We start from the raw sequence: 19299 nt of genomic DNA, 5'->3' as shown, positions 1-19299 counted from the left end.
CTTCTGTCTATTTTTCAGGTGAAGATATCACTTTTTCCAACATACGTAAAAAAGTACTTGAAATGAACACTTGCAGATTCTACAAAAAGGATGTTTCAACACTGCTCTATCAAAAGAAAGGTTCAGTCCCAGCTACTCGGGAGGCTGAGGCAGGAGAATGGCGTGAACCCGGGAGGCGGAGCTTGCTCTGTCCAATTTTTGTGTGAGGATATTCCCTTTTCCATCATAGGACTCAAGTCGCTCTAAATATCCAATTTCAGATACTACAAAAAGACTGTTTCAAAACCGCTCTCTCAAAGGGAAGGTTCAAGTCCGTGAGTTGAATGCACACATCACAAAGCAGTTCCTGAGAATGCTTCTTTCTAGTTTTTATGTGAATATATCTCCTTTTCCACCATAGGCTTTAAAGCGCTCCAAATGAGAACTGTCAGATCCTCATAAAAGACGGCCTCAAAACCGCTCTATCAAAAGAAGGGTTCCACTCCAAGAGGTGAATTCGCATATCACGAAGAAGTTTCTGAGAATGCTTGGGTCTACTTTTCATGTGAAGATACCCGTTTCCAACGAATTCTTCAAAGAGTTCCAAGTATCCACAAGCAGATTCTACAAAAGGAGTGCTTAAATGCTGGTCTATCTAAAGACAGATTCAACTCTGTTAGTTAAATGCACACATCTCAGTGAAGTTCCTGAGAATGCTTCTGTCTAGTTTTTATTTGAAGATATTTCTTTTTCCACCGTAGGCAACAAAGCGCTCCAAAGGAACTCTTGCGGATTCTACAAAAAGCGTGTTTCCACACTGCTCTATTAAAAGAAAGTTTCAAGTCTGTGAGTTGAATTGCACACATCCCAGTGAACTTTCGGAAAATGCATCTGTCTAGTTTGCATGTGAAGAGATTCCATTTACAACGAATTCCTCAAAGAGCTCCAATTATCCACAAGCAGAGTCTACAAAAGCAGTGTTTTGAAACTGCTCTGTCAATAGAAAGGTTCAACTCTGTTAATTGAGCACACACATCCAAAGGAGTTTCTGAGAATCCTTCTGACTGGTTTGTATGTGAAGTCATTTCCTTTTCCATCTAAATCGCCTCAAATCACTAAAAGATCCACTTGCAGATACTACAAAAAGACTTTCAAAACTGCTCTCTCAAAAGGAAGTTTCAACTGTGTGAGTTGAATACACACATCACATAGCAGTTTCTGAGAATGCTTCTGTCTAGCTTTTTATGTAACGATATTTTCTTTCCACCATAGGCAACAAAGCACACAGAATGAAATCTTGCGGATTCTACAAAAAGTGTGTTTCAACACTGCTCTATCCAAAGAAAGGTTCGAGTCCGTGAGTTGAACGCACACAACAGAAAGCAGTTTCTGAGGATGCTTCTGTCTAGTGTTTCTATGAAGATAATTCTTTTTCTACCATAGACAACAATACGTTGCAAATGAACACTTGCAGATTTCACGGAAACTGTGTTTTAACACTGCTCTATCAAAACAAAGGTCCAAGTCTGTGAGTTGACTGCACACATCACAAAGCAGTTTCGGAGAATGATTCTGTCTAGTCTAGTTAGAATGTGAAGATATCCCGTTTACACCGAATTCCTCCGAGAGCTCTAAATATCTGGAAGCAGATTCTACAAAAGCAGTGCTTCAAACCTGCTCTATCAAAGGAAAGGTTCAACTCGGGGAACTGAACACAAACATCACAAAGGAGTTTCTGAGAATGCTTCTGTCTAGTTCGTATGTGAAGATATTTCCTTTTCCACCATAGGCCTCAAATCGCTACAAATATCCACTTGCAGATACTACAAAAATACCGTTTCAACACTGCTCTCTCCAATGGAAGGTTCAACTCTGTGAGTTGAATGCACACATCACAAAGCAGTTTCTGAGAATGCTTCTGCCTAGATTTTGTGAAGATATTCCCTTTTCCACCATAGGCTTCACAGCGCTCCAAATGAAAACTTGCAGGTCCTACCAAAAGACTGATTCCAAACTGCTCTCTCAAAAGGAAGGTTCAACTGTGTGAGTTGAATGCACACATCACAAAGCAGTTCCTGAGAATGCTTGGGTCTACTTTTTATGTGAAGATACCCGTTTCCAATGAATAACTCAAAGAGTTCCAAATATACACAGTCAGATACAGCAAAAGGAGTGTTTCACTCCTGCTCTGTCAAAAGACAGTTTCAACTCTTTTAGTTGAAGGCACACATCTCAATGAAGTTCCTGAGAAGGCTTCTGTCTAGTGTTTAAGTGACGATATTACCTTTTCCCACATAGGCAACAAAGTGCTCCAAATGAATACTTGGGGGTTCTACAAAAAGTGTGCTTCAACACTGCTCTATCAAAAGAAAGTTTCAAGTCTGTGAGTTGAATGCACACATCACAACGAACTTTCTGAGAATGCTTCTGTCTATTTTTCAGGTGAAGATATCACTTTTTCCAACATACGTAAAAAAGTACTCGAAATGAACACTTGCAGATTCTACAAAAAGGATGTCTCAACACTGCTCTATCAAAAGAAAGGTTCAACGATGTGAATTGAACACACACATCACAAAGGAGTTTCAGAGAATGCCTCCGTCTAGCTTTTTATTTGAAGGTATTTCCTTTTCCTTCTTCGGCCTCAAATCACTGCAAATATCCACTTGCGGATACTACAAGAAGACTGTTTCAAAACCGCTCTCTCAAAAGGAAGGTTCGACTCCGTGAGTTGAATGCACACGTTACGAAGCAGTTTCTGAGAATGCTTCTGTCTAGTTTGTACCTGAAGTTATTTCCTTTTCCATCATAGGCCTCAAATCGCTCCACATATCCACTTGCAAATACTACCAAAAGACTGCTTCAAAACTTCTCTCTCAAAAGGAAGGTTCAACTCTGTGAGTTCAATGCACACATCACAAGGCAGTTTCTGAAAATGCTTCTGTCCAATTTTTATGTGAAGAAATTACTTTTTTCATCATTGGCTTCAAGTCGCTCTAAATATCCAATTTCAGATACTACAAAAAGACTGTTTCAAAACTACTCTCTCAAAAGGAAGGTTGAACTCCGTGAGTTTAAGGCACACATCACAAAGCAGTTCCTGAGAATGCTTCTGCCTAGTTTTTTTTGAAGATATTCCCTTTTCCACCATAGGCTTCACAGCGCTCCAAATGAAAACTTGCAGGTCCTACAAAAAGACTGATTCAAAACTGCTCTATCAAAAGAACGGTTCCACTCTGTTAGGTGAAGGCACACATCACAAGAAGTTTCTGAGAATGTTTGGGTCTACTTTTTATGTGAAGATACCCGTTTCCAACGAATAACTCAAAGAGTTCCAAATATACACAATCAGATACTACAAAAGGAGTGTTTCATTCCTGCTCTGTCAAAAGACAGTTTCAACTCTGTTAGTTGAATGCACACATCTCAATGAAGTTCCTGAGAAGGCTTCAGTCTAGTTTTAATGTGAAGATATCACCTTTTCCCACATAGGCAACAAAGCGCTCCAAATAAATACTTGTGGATTCTACAAAAAGTGTGTTTCAACACTGCTCTATCAAAAGAAAGTTTCCAGTCTGTGAGTTGAATGCACACATCAAAAAGAACTTTCTGAGAATGCTTCTGTCTATTTTTCAGGTGAAGATATCACTTTTTCCAACATATGTAAAAAAGTACTGGAAATGAACACTTGCAGATTCTACAAAAAGTATGTTTCAACACTGCTCTATCAAAAGAAAGGTTCAACGATGTGAATTGAACACACACATCACAAAGGAGTTTCAGAGAATGCTTCCGTCTAGTTTTTTATTTGAAGGTATTTCCTTTTCCTTCTTCGGCCTCAAATCACTGCAAATATCCTCTTGCAGACACTACAAAAAGACTGTTTCAAAACCGCTCTCTCAAAAGGAAGGTTCGACTCTGTGAGTTGAATGCACACGTTACGAAGCAGTTTCTGAGAATGCTTCTGTCTAATTTGTATCTCAAGTTATTTCTTTTTCCATCATAGGCCTCAAATCGTTCCAAATATCCACTTGCAAATACTACAAAAAGACTGTTTCGAAAGTTCTCTCTCAAAAGGAAGGTTCAACTCTGTGAGTTGAATGCACACATCACAAGGCAGTTTCTGAAAATGCTTCTGTCCAATTTTTATGTGAAGATATTCCCTTTTCCATCATAGGACTCAAGTCGCTCTAAATATCCAATTTCAGATACTACAAAAAGACTGTTTCAAAACTGCTCTCTCAAAGGGAAGGTTCAAGTCCGTGAGTTGAATGCACACATCACAAAGCAGTTCCTGAGAATGCTTCTTTCTAGTTTTTATGTGAATATGTCTCCTTTTCCACCATAGGCTTCAAAGCGCTCCAAATGAGAACTGGCAGATCCTCATAAAAGACGGCCTCTAAACCGCTCTATCAAAAGAAGGGTTCCACTCCAAGAGGTGAATTCACATATCATGAAGAAGTTTCTGAGAATGCTTGGGTCTACTTTTCATGTGAAGATACCCGTTTCCAACGAATTCTTCAAAGAGTTCCAAGTATCCACAAGCAGATTCTGCAAAAGGAGTGCTTAAATGCTGGTCTATCTAAAGACAGATTCAACTCTGTTAGTTAAATGCACACATCTCAGTGAAGTTCCTGAGAATGCTTCTGTCTAGTTTTTATTTGAAGATATTGCTTTTTCCACCGTAGGCAACAAAGCGCTCCAAAGGAACTCTTGCGGATTCTACAAAAAGCGTGTTTCCACACTGCTCTATCAAAAGAAAGTTTCAAGTCTGTGAGTTGAATTGCACACATCCCAGTGAACTTTCGGAAAATGCATCTGTCTAGTTTGTATGTGAAGAGATTCCATTTACAACGAATTCCTCAAAGAGCTACAAATATCCACAAGCAGATTCTACAAAAGCAGTGTTTTGAAACTGCTCTATCAATAGAAAGGTTCAACACTGTTAATTGAACACACACATCCTAAGGAGTTTCTGAGAATCTTTCTGTCTGGTTTGTATGTGAAGTCATTTCCTTTTCCAACTAAATCGCCTCAAATCGCTAAAAGATCCACTTGCAGATACTACCAAAAGACTTTCAAAACTGCTCTCTCAAAAGGAAGGTTCAACTGTGTGACTTGAATGCACACGTCACAAAGCAGTTTTTGAGAATGCTTCTGTCTACATTTTTAAGTAACGATATTTTCTTTCCACCATAGACAACAAAGCACACGGAATGAAAACTTGCAGATTCTACAAAAAGTGTGTTTCAACACTGCTCTCTCCAAATAAAGGTTCGAGACCGTGAGTTGAACACACACAACAGAAAGCAGTTTCTGAGGATGCTTCTGTCTAGTGTTTCTATGAAGATAATTCTTCTTCTACCATAGGCAACAATACGCTGCAAATGAACACTTGCAGATTTCACAAAAACTGTGTTTTAACACTGCTGTATCAAAACAAATGTCCAAGTCTGTGAGTAGATTGCACACATCACAAATCAGTTTCTGAGAATGATTCTGTCTAGTTAGAATGTGAAGATATCCCGTTTACAACGAATTCCTCCGAGAGCTCTAAATATCTGGAAGCAGATTCTACAAAAGCAGTGCTTCAAACCTGCTCTATCAAAAGAAAGGTTCAGTTCTGGGAATTGAACACAAACATCACAAAGGAGTTTCTGAGAATGCTTCTGTCTAGTTTGTATGTGAAGATATTTCCTTTTCCATCATAGGCCTCCAATCGCTCCAAATATCCACTTGCAGATACTACAAAAATACCGTTTCAACACTGCTCTCTCCAATGGAAGGTTCAACTCTGTGAGTTGAAAGCACACATCACAAAAGCAGTTTCTGAGAATGCTTCTGTCCTATTTTTATGTGAAGATATTCCCTTTTCCATCATAGGCCTCAAGTCGCTCCAAATATCCACTTGCAGACATTACAAGAAGACTGTTTCAAAACTGTTCTCTCAAAAGGAAGGTTCAACTCTGTGAGTTGAGTGCACACATCACAATGGAGTTTCTGAGAATACTTCTTTCAAGTTTTTATGTGAATATATCTCCTTTTCCACCATAGGCTTCAAAGCGCTCCAAATGAGAACTGGCAGATCTTCATAAAAGACTGCCTCAAAACCGCTCTATCAAAAGAAGGGTTCCACTCCAAGAGGTGAATCCACATATCACGAAGAAGTTTCTGAGAATGCTTGGGTCTACTTTTCATGTGAAGATACCCGTTTCCAACGAATTCTTCAAAGAGTTCCAAGTATCCACAAGCAGATTCTACAAAAGGAGTGCTTAAATGCTGGTCTATCTAAAGACAGATTCAACTCTGTTAGTTAAATGCACACATCTCAGTGAAGTTCCTGAGAATGCTTCTGTCTAGCTTTTATTTCAAGATATTCCTTTTTCCACCATAGGCAACAAAGCGCTCCAAAGGAACTCTTGCAGATTGTACAAAAAGCGTGTTTCTACACTGCTCTATCAAAAGAAAGTTTCAAGTCTGTGAGTTGAATGCACACATCCCAGTGAACTTTCGGAGAAAGCATCTGTCTAGTTTGTATGTGAAGATATTCCATTTACAATGAATTCCTCAAAGAGCTCCAAATATCCACAAGCAGATTCTACAAAAGCAGTGTTATAAAACTGCTCTATCAATAGAAAGGTTCAACTCTGTTAATTGAACACACACATCCAAAGGAGTTTCTGAGAATCCTTCTGTCTGGTTTGTATGTGAAGTCATTTGCTTTTCCATCTAAATGGCCTCAAATCGCTAAAACATCCACTTGCAGATACAACAAAGAGACTTTCAAAACTGCTCTCTCAAAAGGAAGGTTCAACTGTGTGAGTTGAATGCACACATCACATAGCACTTTTTGAGAATGCTTCTGTCTACCTTTTTAAGTAACGATATTTTCTTTCCACCATAGGCAACAAAGCACACGGAATGAAAACTTGCAGATTCTACAGAAAGTGTGTTTCAACACTGCTCTATCCAAATAAAGGTTCGAGACCGTGAGTGGAACACACACAACAGAAAGCAGTTTCTGAGGATGCTTCTGTCTAGTGTTTCTATGAAGATAATTCTTTTTCTACCATAGGCAACAATACGCTGCAAATGAACACTTGCAGATTTCACAAAATCTGTGTTTTAACACTGCTCTATCAAAAGAAAAGTCCAAGTCTGTGAGTTGACTGCACACATCACAAAGCAGTTTCTGAGAACGATACTGTCTAGTTTCAATGTGAAGATATCCCGTTTACAACGAATTCCTCCAAGAGCTCTAAATATCTGGAAGCAGATTCTACAAAAGCAGTGCTTCAAACCTGCTCTATCAAAGGAAAGGTTCAGCTCTGGGAATTGAACACAAACATCACAAAGGAGTTTCTGAGAATGCTTCTGTCTAGTTTGTATGTGAAGGTATTTCCTTTTCCATCCGAGGCCCCAAGTCACTACAAATATCCACTTGCAGATACTACAAACAGACTGTTTCAAAACCTCCCTCTCAAAAGGAAAGTTCAAATCTGTGAGTTGAATGCACACATCACAAAGCAGTTCCTCAGACTGCTTCTGCCTAGTTTTTTGTGAAGATATTCCCTTTTCCACCATAGGCTTCACAGCGCTCCAAATGAAAACTTGCAGGTCCTACGAAAAGACTGATTCCAAACTGCTCTCTCAAAAGGAAGGTTCAACTGTGTGAGTTGAATGCACACATCACAAAGCAGTTCCTGAGAATGCTTGGGTCTACTTTTTATGTGAAGATACCCGTTTCCAATGAATACCTCAAAGAGTTCCAAATATACACAGTCAGATACTGCAAAAGGAGTGTTTCATTCCTGCTCTGTCAAAAGACAGTTTCAACTCTGTTAGTTGAATGCACACATCTCAGTGAAGTTCCTGAGAAGGCTTCTGTCTAGTGTTTAAGTGACGATATTACCTTTTCCCACATAGGCAACAAAGCGTTCCAAATGAATACTTGGGGGTTCTACAAAAAGTGTGTTTCAACACTGCTCTATCAAAAGAAAGTTTCAAGTTTGTGATTTGAATGCACACATCACAACGAACTTTCTGAGAATGCTTCTGTCTATTTTTCAGGTGAAGATATCACTTTTTCCAACATAAGTAAAAAAGTATTCGAAATGAACACTTGCAGATTCTACAAAAAGTATGTTTCAACACTGCTCTATCAAAAGAAAGGTTCAACGATGTGAATTGAACACACACATCACAAAGGAGTTTCAGAAAATGCTTCCGTCTAGCTTTTTATTTGAAGGTATTTCCTTTTCCTTCTTCGGCCTCAAATCACTGCAAATATCCACTTGCGGATACTACAAGAAGACTGTTTCAAAACCGCTCTCTCAAAAGGAAGGTTCGACTCCGTGAGTTGAATGCACACGTTACGAAGCAGTTTCTGAGAATGCTTCTGTCTAGTTTGTTTCTGAAGTTATTTCCTTTTCCATCATAGGCCTCAAATCGCTCCAAATATCCACTTGCAAATACTACAAAAAGACTGTTTCAAAAGTTCTCTCTCAAAAGGAAGGTTCAACTCTGTGAGTTGAATGCACACATCACAAGGCAGTTTCTGAAAATGCTTCTGTCCAATTTTTATGTGAGGATATTCCCTTTTCCATCATAGGACTCAAGTCGCTCTAAATATCCAATTTCAGATACTACAAAAAGACTGTTTCAAAACCGCTCTCTCAAAGGGAAGGTTCAAGTCCGTGAGTTGAATGCACACATCACAAAGCAGTTCCTGAGAATGCTTCTTTCTAGTTTTTATGTGAATATGTCTCCTTTTCCACCATAGGCTTCAAAGCGCTCCAAATGAGAACTGGCAGATCCTCATAAAAGACGGCCTCTAAACCGCTCTATCAAAAGAAGGGTTCCACTCCAAGAGGTGAATTCACATATCACGAAGAAGTTTCTGAGAATGCTTGGGTCTACTTTTCATGTGAAGATACCCGTTTCCAACGAATTCTTCAAAGAGTTCCAAGTATCCACAAGCAGATTCTACAAAAGGAGTGCTTAAATGCTGGTCTATCTAAAGACAGATTCAACTCTGTTAGTTAAATGCACACATCTCAGTGAAGTTCCTGAGAATGCTTCTGTCTAGTTTTTATTTGAAGATATTGCTTTTTCCACCGTAGGCAACAAAGCGCTCCAAAGGAACTCTTGCGGATTCTACAAAAAGCTTGTTTCCACACTGCTCTATCAAAAGAAAGTTTCAAGTCTGTGAGTTGAATTGCACACATCCCAGTGAACTTTCGGAAAATGCATCTGTCTAGTTTGCATGTGAAGAGATTCCATTTACAACGAATTCCTCAAAGAGCTCCAATTATCCACAAGCAGAGTCTACAAAAGCAGTGTTTTGAAACTGCTCTGTCAATAGAAAGGTTCAACTCTGTTAATTGAGCACACACATCCAAAGGAGTTTCTGAGAATCCTTCTGTCTGGTTTGTATGTGAAGTCATTTCCTTTTCCATCTACATCGCCTCAAATCGCTAAAAGATCCACTCGCAGATACTACAAAAAGACTTTCAAAACTGCTCTCTCAAAAGGAAGGTTCAACTGCGTGAGTTGAATGCACACATCACAAAGCAGTTTCTGAGAACGCTTCTGTCTAGCTTTTTATGTAACGATATTTTCTTTCCACCAGAGGCAACGAAGCACACGGAACGAAATCTTGCGGATTGTACAAAAAGTGTGTTTCAACACCGCTCTATCCAAAGAAAGGTTCGAGTCCGTGAGTTGAACGCACACAACAGAAAGCAGTTTCTGAGGATGCTTCTGTCTAGTGTTTCTATGAAGATAATTCTTTTTCTACCATAGGCAACAATACGCTGCAAATGAACACTTGCAGATTTCACAAAAACTGTGTTTTAACACTGCTCTATCAAAACAAATGTCCAAGTCTGTGAGTAGATTGCACACATCACAAATCAGTTTCTGAGAATGATTCTGTCTAGTTAGAATGTGAAGATATCCCGTTTACAACGAATTCCTCCGAGAGCTCTAAATATCTGGAAGCAGATTCTACAAAAGGAGTGCTTCAAACCTGCTCTATCAAAAGAAAGGTTCAGTTCTGGGAATTGAACACAAACATCACAAAGGAGTTTCTGAGAATGCTTCTGTCTAGTTTGTATGTGAAGATATTTCCTTTTCCACCATAGGCCTCCAATCGCTCCAAATATCCACTTGCAGATACTACAAAAATACCGTTTCAACACTGCTCTCTCCAATGGAAGGTTCAACTCTGTGAGTTGAATGCACACATCACAAAGCAGTTTCTGAGAATGCTTCTGCCTAGATTTTGTGAAGATATTCCCTTTTCCACCATAGGCTTCACAGCGCTCCAAATGAAAACTTGCAGGTCCTACCAAAACACTGATTCCAAACTGCTCTCTCAAAAGGAAGGTTCAACTGTGTGAGTTGAATGCACACATCACAAAGCAGTTCCTGAGAATGCTTGGGTCTACTTTTTATGTGAAGATACCCGTTTCCAACGAATAACTCAAAGAGTTCCAAATATACACAGTCAGGTACTGCAAAAGGAGTGTTTCACTCCTGCTCTGTCAAAAGACAGTTTCAACTCTGTTAGTTGAATGCACACATCTCAATGAAGTTCCTGAGAAGGCTTCTGTCTAGTGTTTAGGTGACGATATTACCTTTTCCCACATAGGCAACAAAGCGCTCCAAATGAATACTTGTGGGTTCTACAAAAAGTGTGTCTCAACACTGCTCTATCAAAAGAAAGTTTCCAGTCTGTGAGTTGAATGCACACATCACCACGAACTTTCTGAGAATGCTTCTGTCTATTTTTCAGGTGAAGATATCACTTTTTCCAACATACGTAAAAAAGTACTCGAAATGAACACTTGCAGATTCTACAAAAAGGATGTTTCAACACTGCTCTATCAAAAGAAAGGTTCAACGATGTGAATTGAACACACACATCACAAAGGAGTTTCAGAGAATGCTTCCGTCTAGCTTTTTATTTGAAGGTATTTCCTTTTCCTTCTTCGGCCTCAAATCACTGCAAATATCCACTTGCGGATACTACAAGAAGACTGTTTCAAAACCGCTCTCTCAAAAGGAAGGTTCGACTCCGTGAGTTGAATGCACACGTTACGAAGCAGTTTCTGAGAATGCTTCTGTCTAATTTGTATCTCAAGTTATTTCCTTTTCCATCATAGGCCTCAAATCGCTCCAAATATCCACTTGCAAATACTACAAAAAGACTGTTTCGAAAGTTCTCTCTCAAAAGGAAGGTTCAACTCTGTGAGTTGAATGCACACATCACAAGGCAGTTTCTGAAAATGCTTCTGTCCAATTTTTATGTGAAGATATTCCCTTTTCCATCATAGGACTCAAGTCGCTCTAAATATCCAATTTCAGATACTACAAAAAGACTGTTTCAAAACTGCTCTCTCAAAGGGAAGGTTCAAGTCCGTGAGTTGAATGCACACATCACAAAGCAGTTCCTGAGAATGCTTCTTTCTAGTTCTTATGTGAATGTATCTACTTTTCCACCATAGGCTTCACAGCGCTCCAAATGAGAACTGGCAGATCCTCATAAAAGACGGCCTCAAAACCGCTCTATCAAAACAAGGGTTCCACTCCAAGAGGTGAATTCACATATCACGAAGAAGTTTCTGAGAATGCTTGGGTCTACTTTTCATGTGAAGATGCCCGTTTCCAACGAATTCTTCAAAGAGTTCCAAGTATCCACAAGCAGATTCTACAAAAGGAGTGCTTAAATGCTGGTCTATCTAAAGACAGATTCAACTCTGTTAGTTAAATGCACACATCTCAGTGAAGTTCCTGAGAATGCTTCTGTCTAGTTTTTATTTGAAGATATTTCTTTTTCCACCATAGGCAACAAAGCGCTCCAAAGGAACTCTTGCGGATTCTACAAAAAGCGTGTTTCTACACTGCCCTATGAAAAGAAAGTTTCAAGTCTGTGAGTTGAATTGCACACATCCCAGTGAACTTTCGGAAAATGCATCTGTCTAGTTTGCATGTGAAGAGATTCCATTTACAACGAATTCCTCAAAGAGCTCCAATTATCCACAAGCAGAGTCTACAAAAGCAGTGTTTTGAAACTGCTCTGTCAATAGAAAGGTTCAACTCAGTAAATTGAGCACACACATCCAAAGGAGTTTCTAAGAATCCTTCTGTCTGGTTTGTATGTGAAGTCATTTCCTTTTCCATCTAAATCGCCTCAAATCGCTAAAAGATCCACTTGCAGATACTACAAAAAGACTTTCAAAACTGCTCTCTCAAAAGGAAGGTTCAACTGTGTGAGTTGAATGCACACATCACAAAGCAGTTTTTGAGAACGCTTCTGTCTAGCTTTTTATGTAACGATATTTTCTTTCCACCAGAGGCAACGAAGCACACGGAACGAAATCTTGCGGATTCTACAAAAAGTGTGTTTCAACACCGCTCTATCCAAAGAAAGGTTCGAGTCCGTGAGTTGAACGCACAAAACAGAAAGCAGTTTCTGAGGATGCTTCTGTCTAGTGTTTCTATGAAGATAATTCTTTTTCTACCATTGGCAACAATACGCTGCAAATGAACACTTGCATATTTCACAAAAACTGTGTTTTAACACTGCTCTATCAAAACAAAGATCCAAGTCTGTGAGTTGACTGCACACATCACAAAGCAGTTTCTGAGAATGATTCTGTCTAGTCTAGTTATAATGTGAAGATCTCCCGTTTACAACGAATTCCTCCGAGAGCTCTAAATATCTGGAAGCAGATTCTACAAAAGCAGTGCTTCAAACCTGCTCTATCAAAGGAAAGGTTCAGCTCGGGGAATTGAACACAAACATCACAAAGGAGTTTCTGAGAATGCTTCTGTCTAGTTTGTATGTGAAGATATTTCCTTTTCCATCATAGGCCTCAAATCGCCCCAAATATCCACTTGCAGATACTACAAAAATACCGTTTCAACACTGCTCTCTCCAATGGAAGGTTCAACTCTGTGAGTTGAATGCACACATCACAAAGCAGTTTCTGAGAATGCTTCTGCCTATTTTTTTGTGAAGATATTCCCTTTTCCACCATGGGCTTCACAGCGCTCCAAATGAAAACTTGCAGGTCCTACCAAAAGACTGATTCAAAACTGCTCTCTCAAAAGGAAGGTTCAACTGTGTGAGTTGAATGCACACATCACAAAGCAGTTCCTCAGAATGCTTGGGTCTACTTTTTATGTGAAGATACCCGTTTCCAACGAATAACTCAAAGAGTTCCAAATATACACAGTCAGATACTGCAAAAGGAGTGTTTCATTCCTGCTCTGTCAAAAGACAGTTTCAACTCTGTTAGTTGAAGGCACACATCTCAATGAAGTTCCTGAGAAGGCTTCTGTCTAGTGTTTAAGTGACGATATTACCTTTTCCCACATAGGCAACAAAGCGCTCCAAATGAATACTTGTGGGTTCTACAAAAAGTGTGTTTCAACACTGCTCTATCAAAAGAAAGTTTCAAGTCTGTGAGTTCAATGCACACATCACAACGAACTTTCTGAGAATGCTAATGTCGATTTTTCAGGTGAAGATATCACTTTTTCCAACATACACAAAAATGTACTCGAAATGAACACTTGCAGATTCTACAAAAAGTATGTTTCAACACTGCTCTATCAAAAGAAAGGTTCAAAGATGTGAATTGAACACACACATCACAAAGGAGTTTCAGAGAATGCTTCCGTCTAGTTTTTTATTTGAAGGTATTTCCTTTTCCTTCTTCGGCCTCAAATCACTGCAAATATCCACTTGCAGATACTACAAAAAGACTGTTTCAAAACCGCTCTCTCAAAAGGAAGGTTCGACTCCGTGAGTTGAATGCACACGTTACGCAGCAGTTTCTGAGAATGCTTCTGTCTAGTTTGTATCTGAAGTTATTTCCTTTTCCATCATAGGCCTCAAATCGCTCCAAATATCCACTTGTAAATACTACAAAAAGACTGTTTCAAAAGTTCTCTCTCAAAAGGAAGGTTCAACTCTGTGAGTTGAATGCACACATCACAAGGCAGTTTCTGAAAATGCTTCTGTCCAAATTGTATGTGAAGATATTCCCTTTTCCATCATAGGCCTCAAGTCGCTCTAAATATCCAATTTCAGATACTACAAAAAGACTGTTTCAAAACTGCTCTCTCAAAGGGAAGGTTCAAGTCCGTGAGTTGAATGCACACATCACAAAGCAGTTCCTGAGAATGCTTCTTTCTAGTTCTTATGTGAATGTATCTCCTTTTCCACCATAGGCTTCAAAGCGCTCCAAATGAGAACTGGCAGATCCTCATAAAAGACGGCCTCAAAACCGCTCTATCAAAAGAAGGGTTCCACTCCAAGAGGTGAATTCACATATCACGAAGAAGTTTCTGAGAATGCTTGGGTCTACTTTTCATGTGAAGATACCCGTTTCCAACGAATTCTTCAAAGAGTTCCAAGTATCCACAAGCAGATTCTACAAAAGGAGTGCTTAAATGCTGGTCTATCTAAAGACAGATTCAACTCTGTTAGTTAAATGCACACATCTCAGTGAAGTTCCTGAGAATGCTTCTGTCTAGTTTTTATTTGAAGATATTGCTTTTTCCACCGTAGGCAACAAAGCGCTCCAAAGGAACTCTTGCGGATTCTACAAAAAGCGTGTTTCCACACTGCTCTATCAAAAGAAAGTTTCAAGTCTGTGAGTTGAATTGCACACATCCCAGTGAACTTTCGGAAAATGCATCTGTCTAGTTTGCATGTGAAGAGATTCCATTTACAACGAATTCCTCAAAGAGCTCCAATTATCCACAAGCAGAGTCTACAAAAGCAGTGTTTTGAAACTGCTCTGTCAATAGAAAGGTTCAACTCTGTAAATTGAGCACACACATCCAAAGGAGTTTCTGAGAATCCTTCTGTCTGGTTTGTATGTGAAGTCATTTCCTTTTCCATCTAAATCGCCTCAAATCGCTAAAAGATCCACTCGCAGATACTACAAAAAGACTTTCAAAACTGCTCTCTCAACAGGAAGGTTCAACTGTGTGAGTTGAATGCACACATCACAAAGCAGTTTTTGAGAACGCTTCTGTCTAGCTTTTTATGTAACGATATTTTCTTTCCACCAGAGGCAACGAAGCACACGGAACGAAATCTTGCGGATTCTACAAAAAGTGTGTCTCAACACCGCTCTATCCAAAGAAAGGTTCGAGTCCGTGAGTTGAACGCACACAACAGAAAGCAGTTTCTGAGGATGCTTTCTGTCTAGTGTTTCTATGAAGATAATTCTTTTTCTACCATAGGCAACAATACGCTGCAAAGGAACACTTGCAGATTTCACAAAAACTGTGTTTTAACACTGCTCTATCAAAACAAAGGTCCAAGTCTGTGAGTGGACTGCACACATCACAAAGCAGTTTCTGAGAATGATTCTGTCTAGTCTAGTTAGAATGTGAAGGTGTCCCGTTTACAACGAATCCCTCCGAGAGCTCTAAATATCTGGAAGCAGATTCCACAAAAGCAGTGCTTCAAACCTGCTCTGTCAAAGGAAAGGTTCAGCTCGGGGAATTGAACACAAACATCACAAAGGAGTTTCTGAGAATGCTTCTTTCCAGTTTTTATGTGAATATATCTCCTTTTCCACCGTAGGCTTCAAAGCGCTCGAAATGAGAACTCGCAGATCTTCATAAAAGACTGCCTCAAAACCGCTCTATCAAAAGAAGGGTTCCACTCCAAGAGGTGAATTCACATATCACGAAGAAGTTTCTGAGAATGCTTGGGTCTACTTTTCATGGGAAGATACCCGTTTCCAAGGAATTCTTCAAAGAGTTCCAAGTATCCACAAGCAGATTCTACAGAAGGAGTGCTTAAATGCTGGTCTATCTAAAGACAGATTCAACTCTGTTAGTTAAATTCACACATCTCAGTGAAGCTCCTGAGAATGCTTCTGTCTAGTTTTTATTTGAAGATATTACTTTTTCCACCATAGGCATCAAAGCGCTCCAAAGGAACTCTAGCAGATTCTACAAAAAGCGTGTTTCTAAACTGTTCTATCAAAAGAAAGTTTCAAGTCTGTGAGTTGAATGCACACGTCCCAGTGAACTTTCGGAGAATGCATCTGTCTAGTTTGCATGTGAAGAGATTCCATTTACAACGAATTCCTCAAAGAGCTCCAATTATCCACAAGCAGAGTCTACAAAAGCAGTGTTTTGAAACTGCTCTATCAATAGAAAGGTTCAACTCTTTTAATTGAGCACACACATCCAAAGGAGTTTCTGAGAATCCTTCTGTCTGGATTGTATGTGAAGTCATTTCCTTTTCCATCTAAACCGCCTCAAATCGCTAAAAGATCCACTTGCACATACTACCAAAAGACTTTCAAAACTGCTCTCTCAAAAGGAAGGTTCAACTGTGTGACTTGAATGCACACATCACAAAGCAGTTTTTGAGATTGCTTCTGTCTAGCTTTTTATGTAACGATATTTTCTTTCCACCAGAGGCAACAAAGCCCACGGAACGAAATCTTGCGGATACTATAAAAAGTGTGTTTCAACACCGCTCTATCCAAAGAAACTTTCGAGTCCCTGAGTTGAACGCACACAACAGAAAGCAGTTTCTGAGGATGCTTCTGTCTAGTGTTTCTATGAAGATAATTCTTTTTCTACCATAGGCAACAATACGCTGCAAATGAACACTTGCAGATTTCACCAAAACTGTGTTTTAAAACTGCTCTATCAAAAGAAAGGTCCAAGTCTGTGAGTTGACTGCACACATCACAAAGCAGTTTCTGAGAATGATTCTGTCTAGTTAGAATGAGAAGATATCCCGTGTACAACGAATTCCTCCAAGAGCTCTAGATATCTGGAAGCAGATTCTACAAAAGCAGTGCTTCAAAGCTGCTCTATCAAAGGAAAGGTTCAGCTCAGGGAATTGAACACAAACATCACAAAGGAGTTTCTGAGAATGCTTCTGTCTAGTTTGTATGTGAAGATATTTCCTTTTCCATCATAGGCCTCCAATCGCTCCAAATATCCACTTGCAGATACTACAAAAATACCGTTTCAACACTGCTCTCTCCAATGGAAGGTTCAACTCTGTGAGTTGAAAGCACACATCACAAAGCAGTTTCTGAGAATGCTTCTGCCTAGTTTTTTGTGAAGATATTCCCTTTTCCACCATAGGCTTCACAGCGCTCCAAATGAAAACTTGCAGGTCCTACAAAAAGACTGATTCAAAACTGCTCTCCCAAAAGGAAGGTTCAACTGTGTGAGTTGAATGCACACATCACAAAGCAGTTCCTGAGAATGCTTGGGTCTACTTTTTATGTGAAGATACCCGTTTCCAACGAATAACTCAAAGAGTTCCAAATATACACAGTCAGGTACTGCAAAAGGAGTGTTTCACTCCTGCTCTGTCAAAAGACAGTTTCAACTCTGTTAGTTGAATGCACACATCTCAATGAAGTTCCTGAGAAGGCTTCTGTCTAGTGTTTAGGTGACGATATTACCTTTTCCCACATAGGCAACAAAGCGCTCCAAATGAATACTTGTGGGTTCTACAAGAAGTGTGTTTCAACACTGCTCTATCAAAAGAAAGTTTCCAGTCTGTGAGTTGAATGCACACATCACAACGAACTTTCTGAGAATGCTTCTGTCTATTTTTCAGGTGAAGATATCACTTTTTCCAACATACGTAAAAAAGTACTGGAAATGAACACTTGCAGATTCTACAAAAAGTATGTTTCAACACTGCTCTATCAAAAGAAAGGTTCAACGATGTGAATTGAACACACACATCACAAAGGAGTTTCAGAGAATGCTTCCGTCTAGTTTTTTATTTGAAGGTATTTCCTTTTCCTTCTTCGGCCTCAAATCACTGCAAATATCCACTTGCAGACACTACAAAAAGACTGTTTCAAAACCGCTCTCTCAAAAGGAAGGTTCGACTCTGTGAGTTGAATGCACACGTTACGAAGCAGTTTCTGAGAATGCTTCTGTCTAGTTTGTATCTGAAGTTATTTCCTTTTCCATCATAGGCCTCAAATCGCTCCAAATATCCACTTGCAAATACTACAAAAAGACTGTTTCAAAAGTTCTCTCTCAAAAGGAAGGTTCAACTCTGTGAGTTGAATGCACACATCACAAGGCAGTTTCTGAAAATGCTTCTGTCCAATTTTTATGTGAAGATATTCCCTTTTCCATCATAGGACTCAAGTCGCTCTAAATATCCAATTTCAGATACTACAAAAAGACTGTTTCAAAACTGCTCTCTCAAAGGGAAGGTTCAAGTCCGTGAGTTGAATGCACACATCACAAAGCAGTTCCTGAGAATGCTTCTTTCTAGTTTTTATGTGAATGTATCTCCTTTTCCACCATAGGCTTCAAAGCGCTCCAAATGAGAACTGGCAGATCCTCATAAAAGACGGCCTCAAAACCGCTCTATCAAAAGAAGGGTTCCACTCCAAGAGGTGAATTCACACATCATGAAGAACTTTCTGAGAATGCTTGGGTCTACTTTTCATGGGAAGATACCCGTTTCCAACGAATTCTACAATGAGTTTCAAGTATCCACAAGCAGATTCTACAGAAGGAGTGCTTAAATGCTGGTCTATCTAAAGACAGATACAACTCTGTTAGTTAAATGCACACATCTCAGTGAAGTTCCTGAGAATGCTTCTGTCTAGTTTTTATTTGAAGATATTTCTTTTTCCACCATAGGCAACAAAGCGCTCCAAAGGAACTCTTGCGGATTCTACAAAAAGCGTGTTTCTACACTGCCCTATGAAAAGAAAGTTTCAAGTCTGTGAGTTGAATTGCACACATCCCAGTGAACTTTCGGAAAATGCATCTGTCTAGTTTGTATGTGAAGAGATTCCATTTACAACGAATTCCTCAAAGAGCTCCAAATATCCACAAGCAGATTCTACAAAAGCAGTGTTTTGAAACTGCTCTATCAATAGAAAGGTTCAACTCTGTTATTTGAACACACCCAGCCTAAGGAGTTTCTGAGAATCCTTCCGTCTGGTTTGTATGTGAAGTCATTTCCTTTTCCATCTAAATCGCCTCAAATCGCTAAAAGATCCACTCGCAGATACTACAAAAAGACTTTCAAAACTGCTCTCTCAAAAGGAAGGTTCAACTGTGTGAGTTGAATGCGCACATCACATAGCAGTTTTTGAGAACGCTTCTGTCTAGCTTTTTATGTAACGATATTTTATTTGCACCAGAGGCAACAAAGCACACGGAATGAAATCTTGCGGATTCTACAAAAAGTGTGTTTCAACACCGCTCTATCCAAAGAAAGGTTCGAGTCCGTGAGTTGAACGCACACAACAGAAAGCAGTTTCTGAGGATGCT

The 19299-nt window shown here is 39.4% G+C and overlaps 1 annotated feature.

Annotated features, from left to right (window-relative positions):
- Window positions 1-19299: part of a centromere (Linear centromere model derived predominantly from reads generated in PMID: 17803354. This region does not represent an actual centromere sequence, as long-range ordering of repeats and unmapped WGS contigs is not provided by the model. For details of model production, see http://arxiv.org/abs/1307.0035.) that runs on past both edges of the window.

The sequence above is a fragment of the Homo sapiens genome, chromosome 5 (genome assembly GCF_000001405.40).
Source record: "Homo sapiens chromosome 5, GRCh38.p14 Primary Assembly".
Classification (NCBI taxonomy): domain Eukaryota; kingdom Metazoa; phylum Chordata; class Mammalia; order Primates; family Hominidae; genus Homo; species Homo sapiens.
This window is presented reverse-complemented; position numbering and strand designations above follow the sequence as displayed.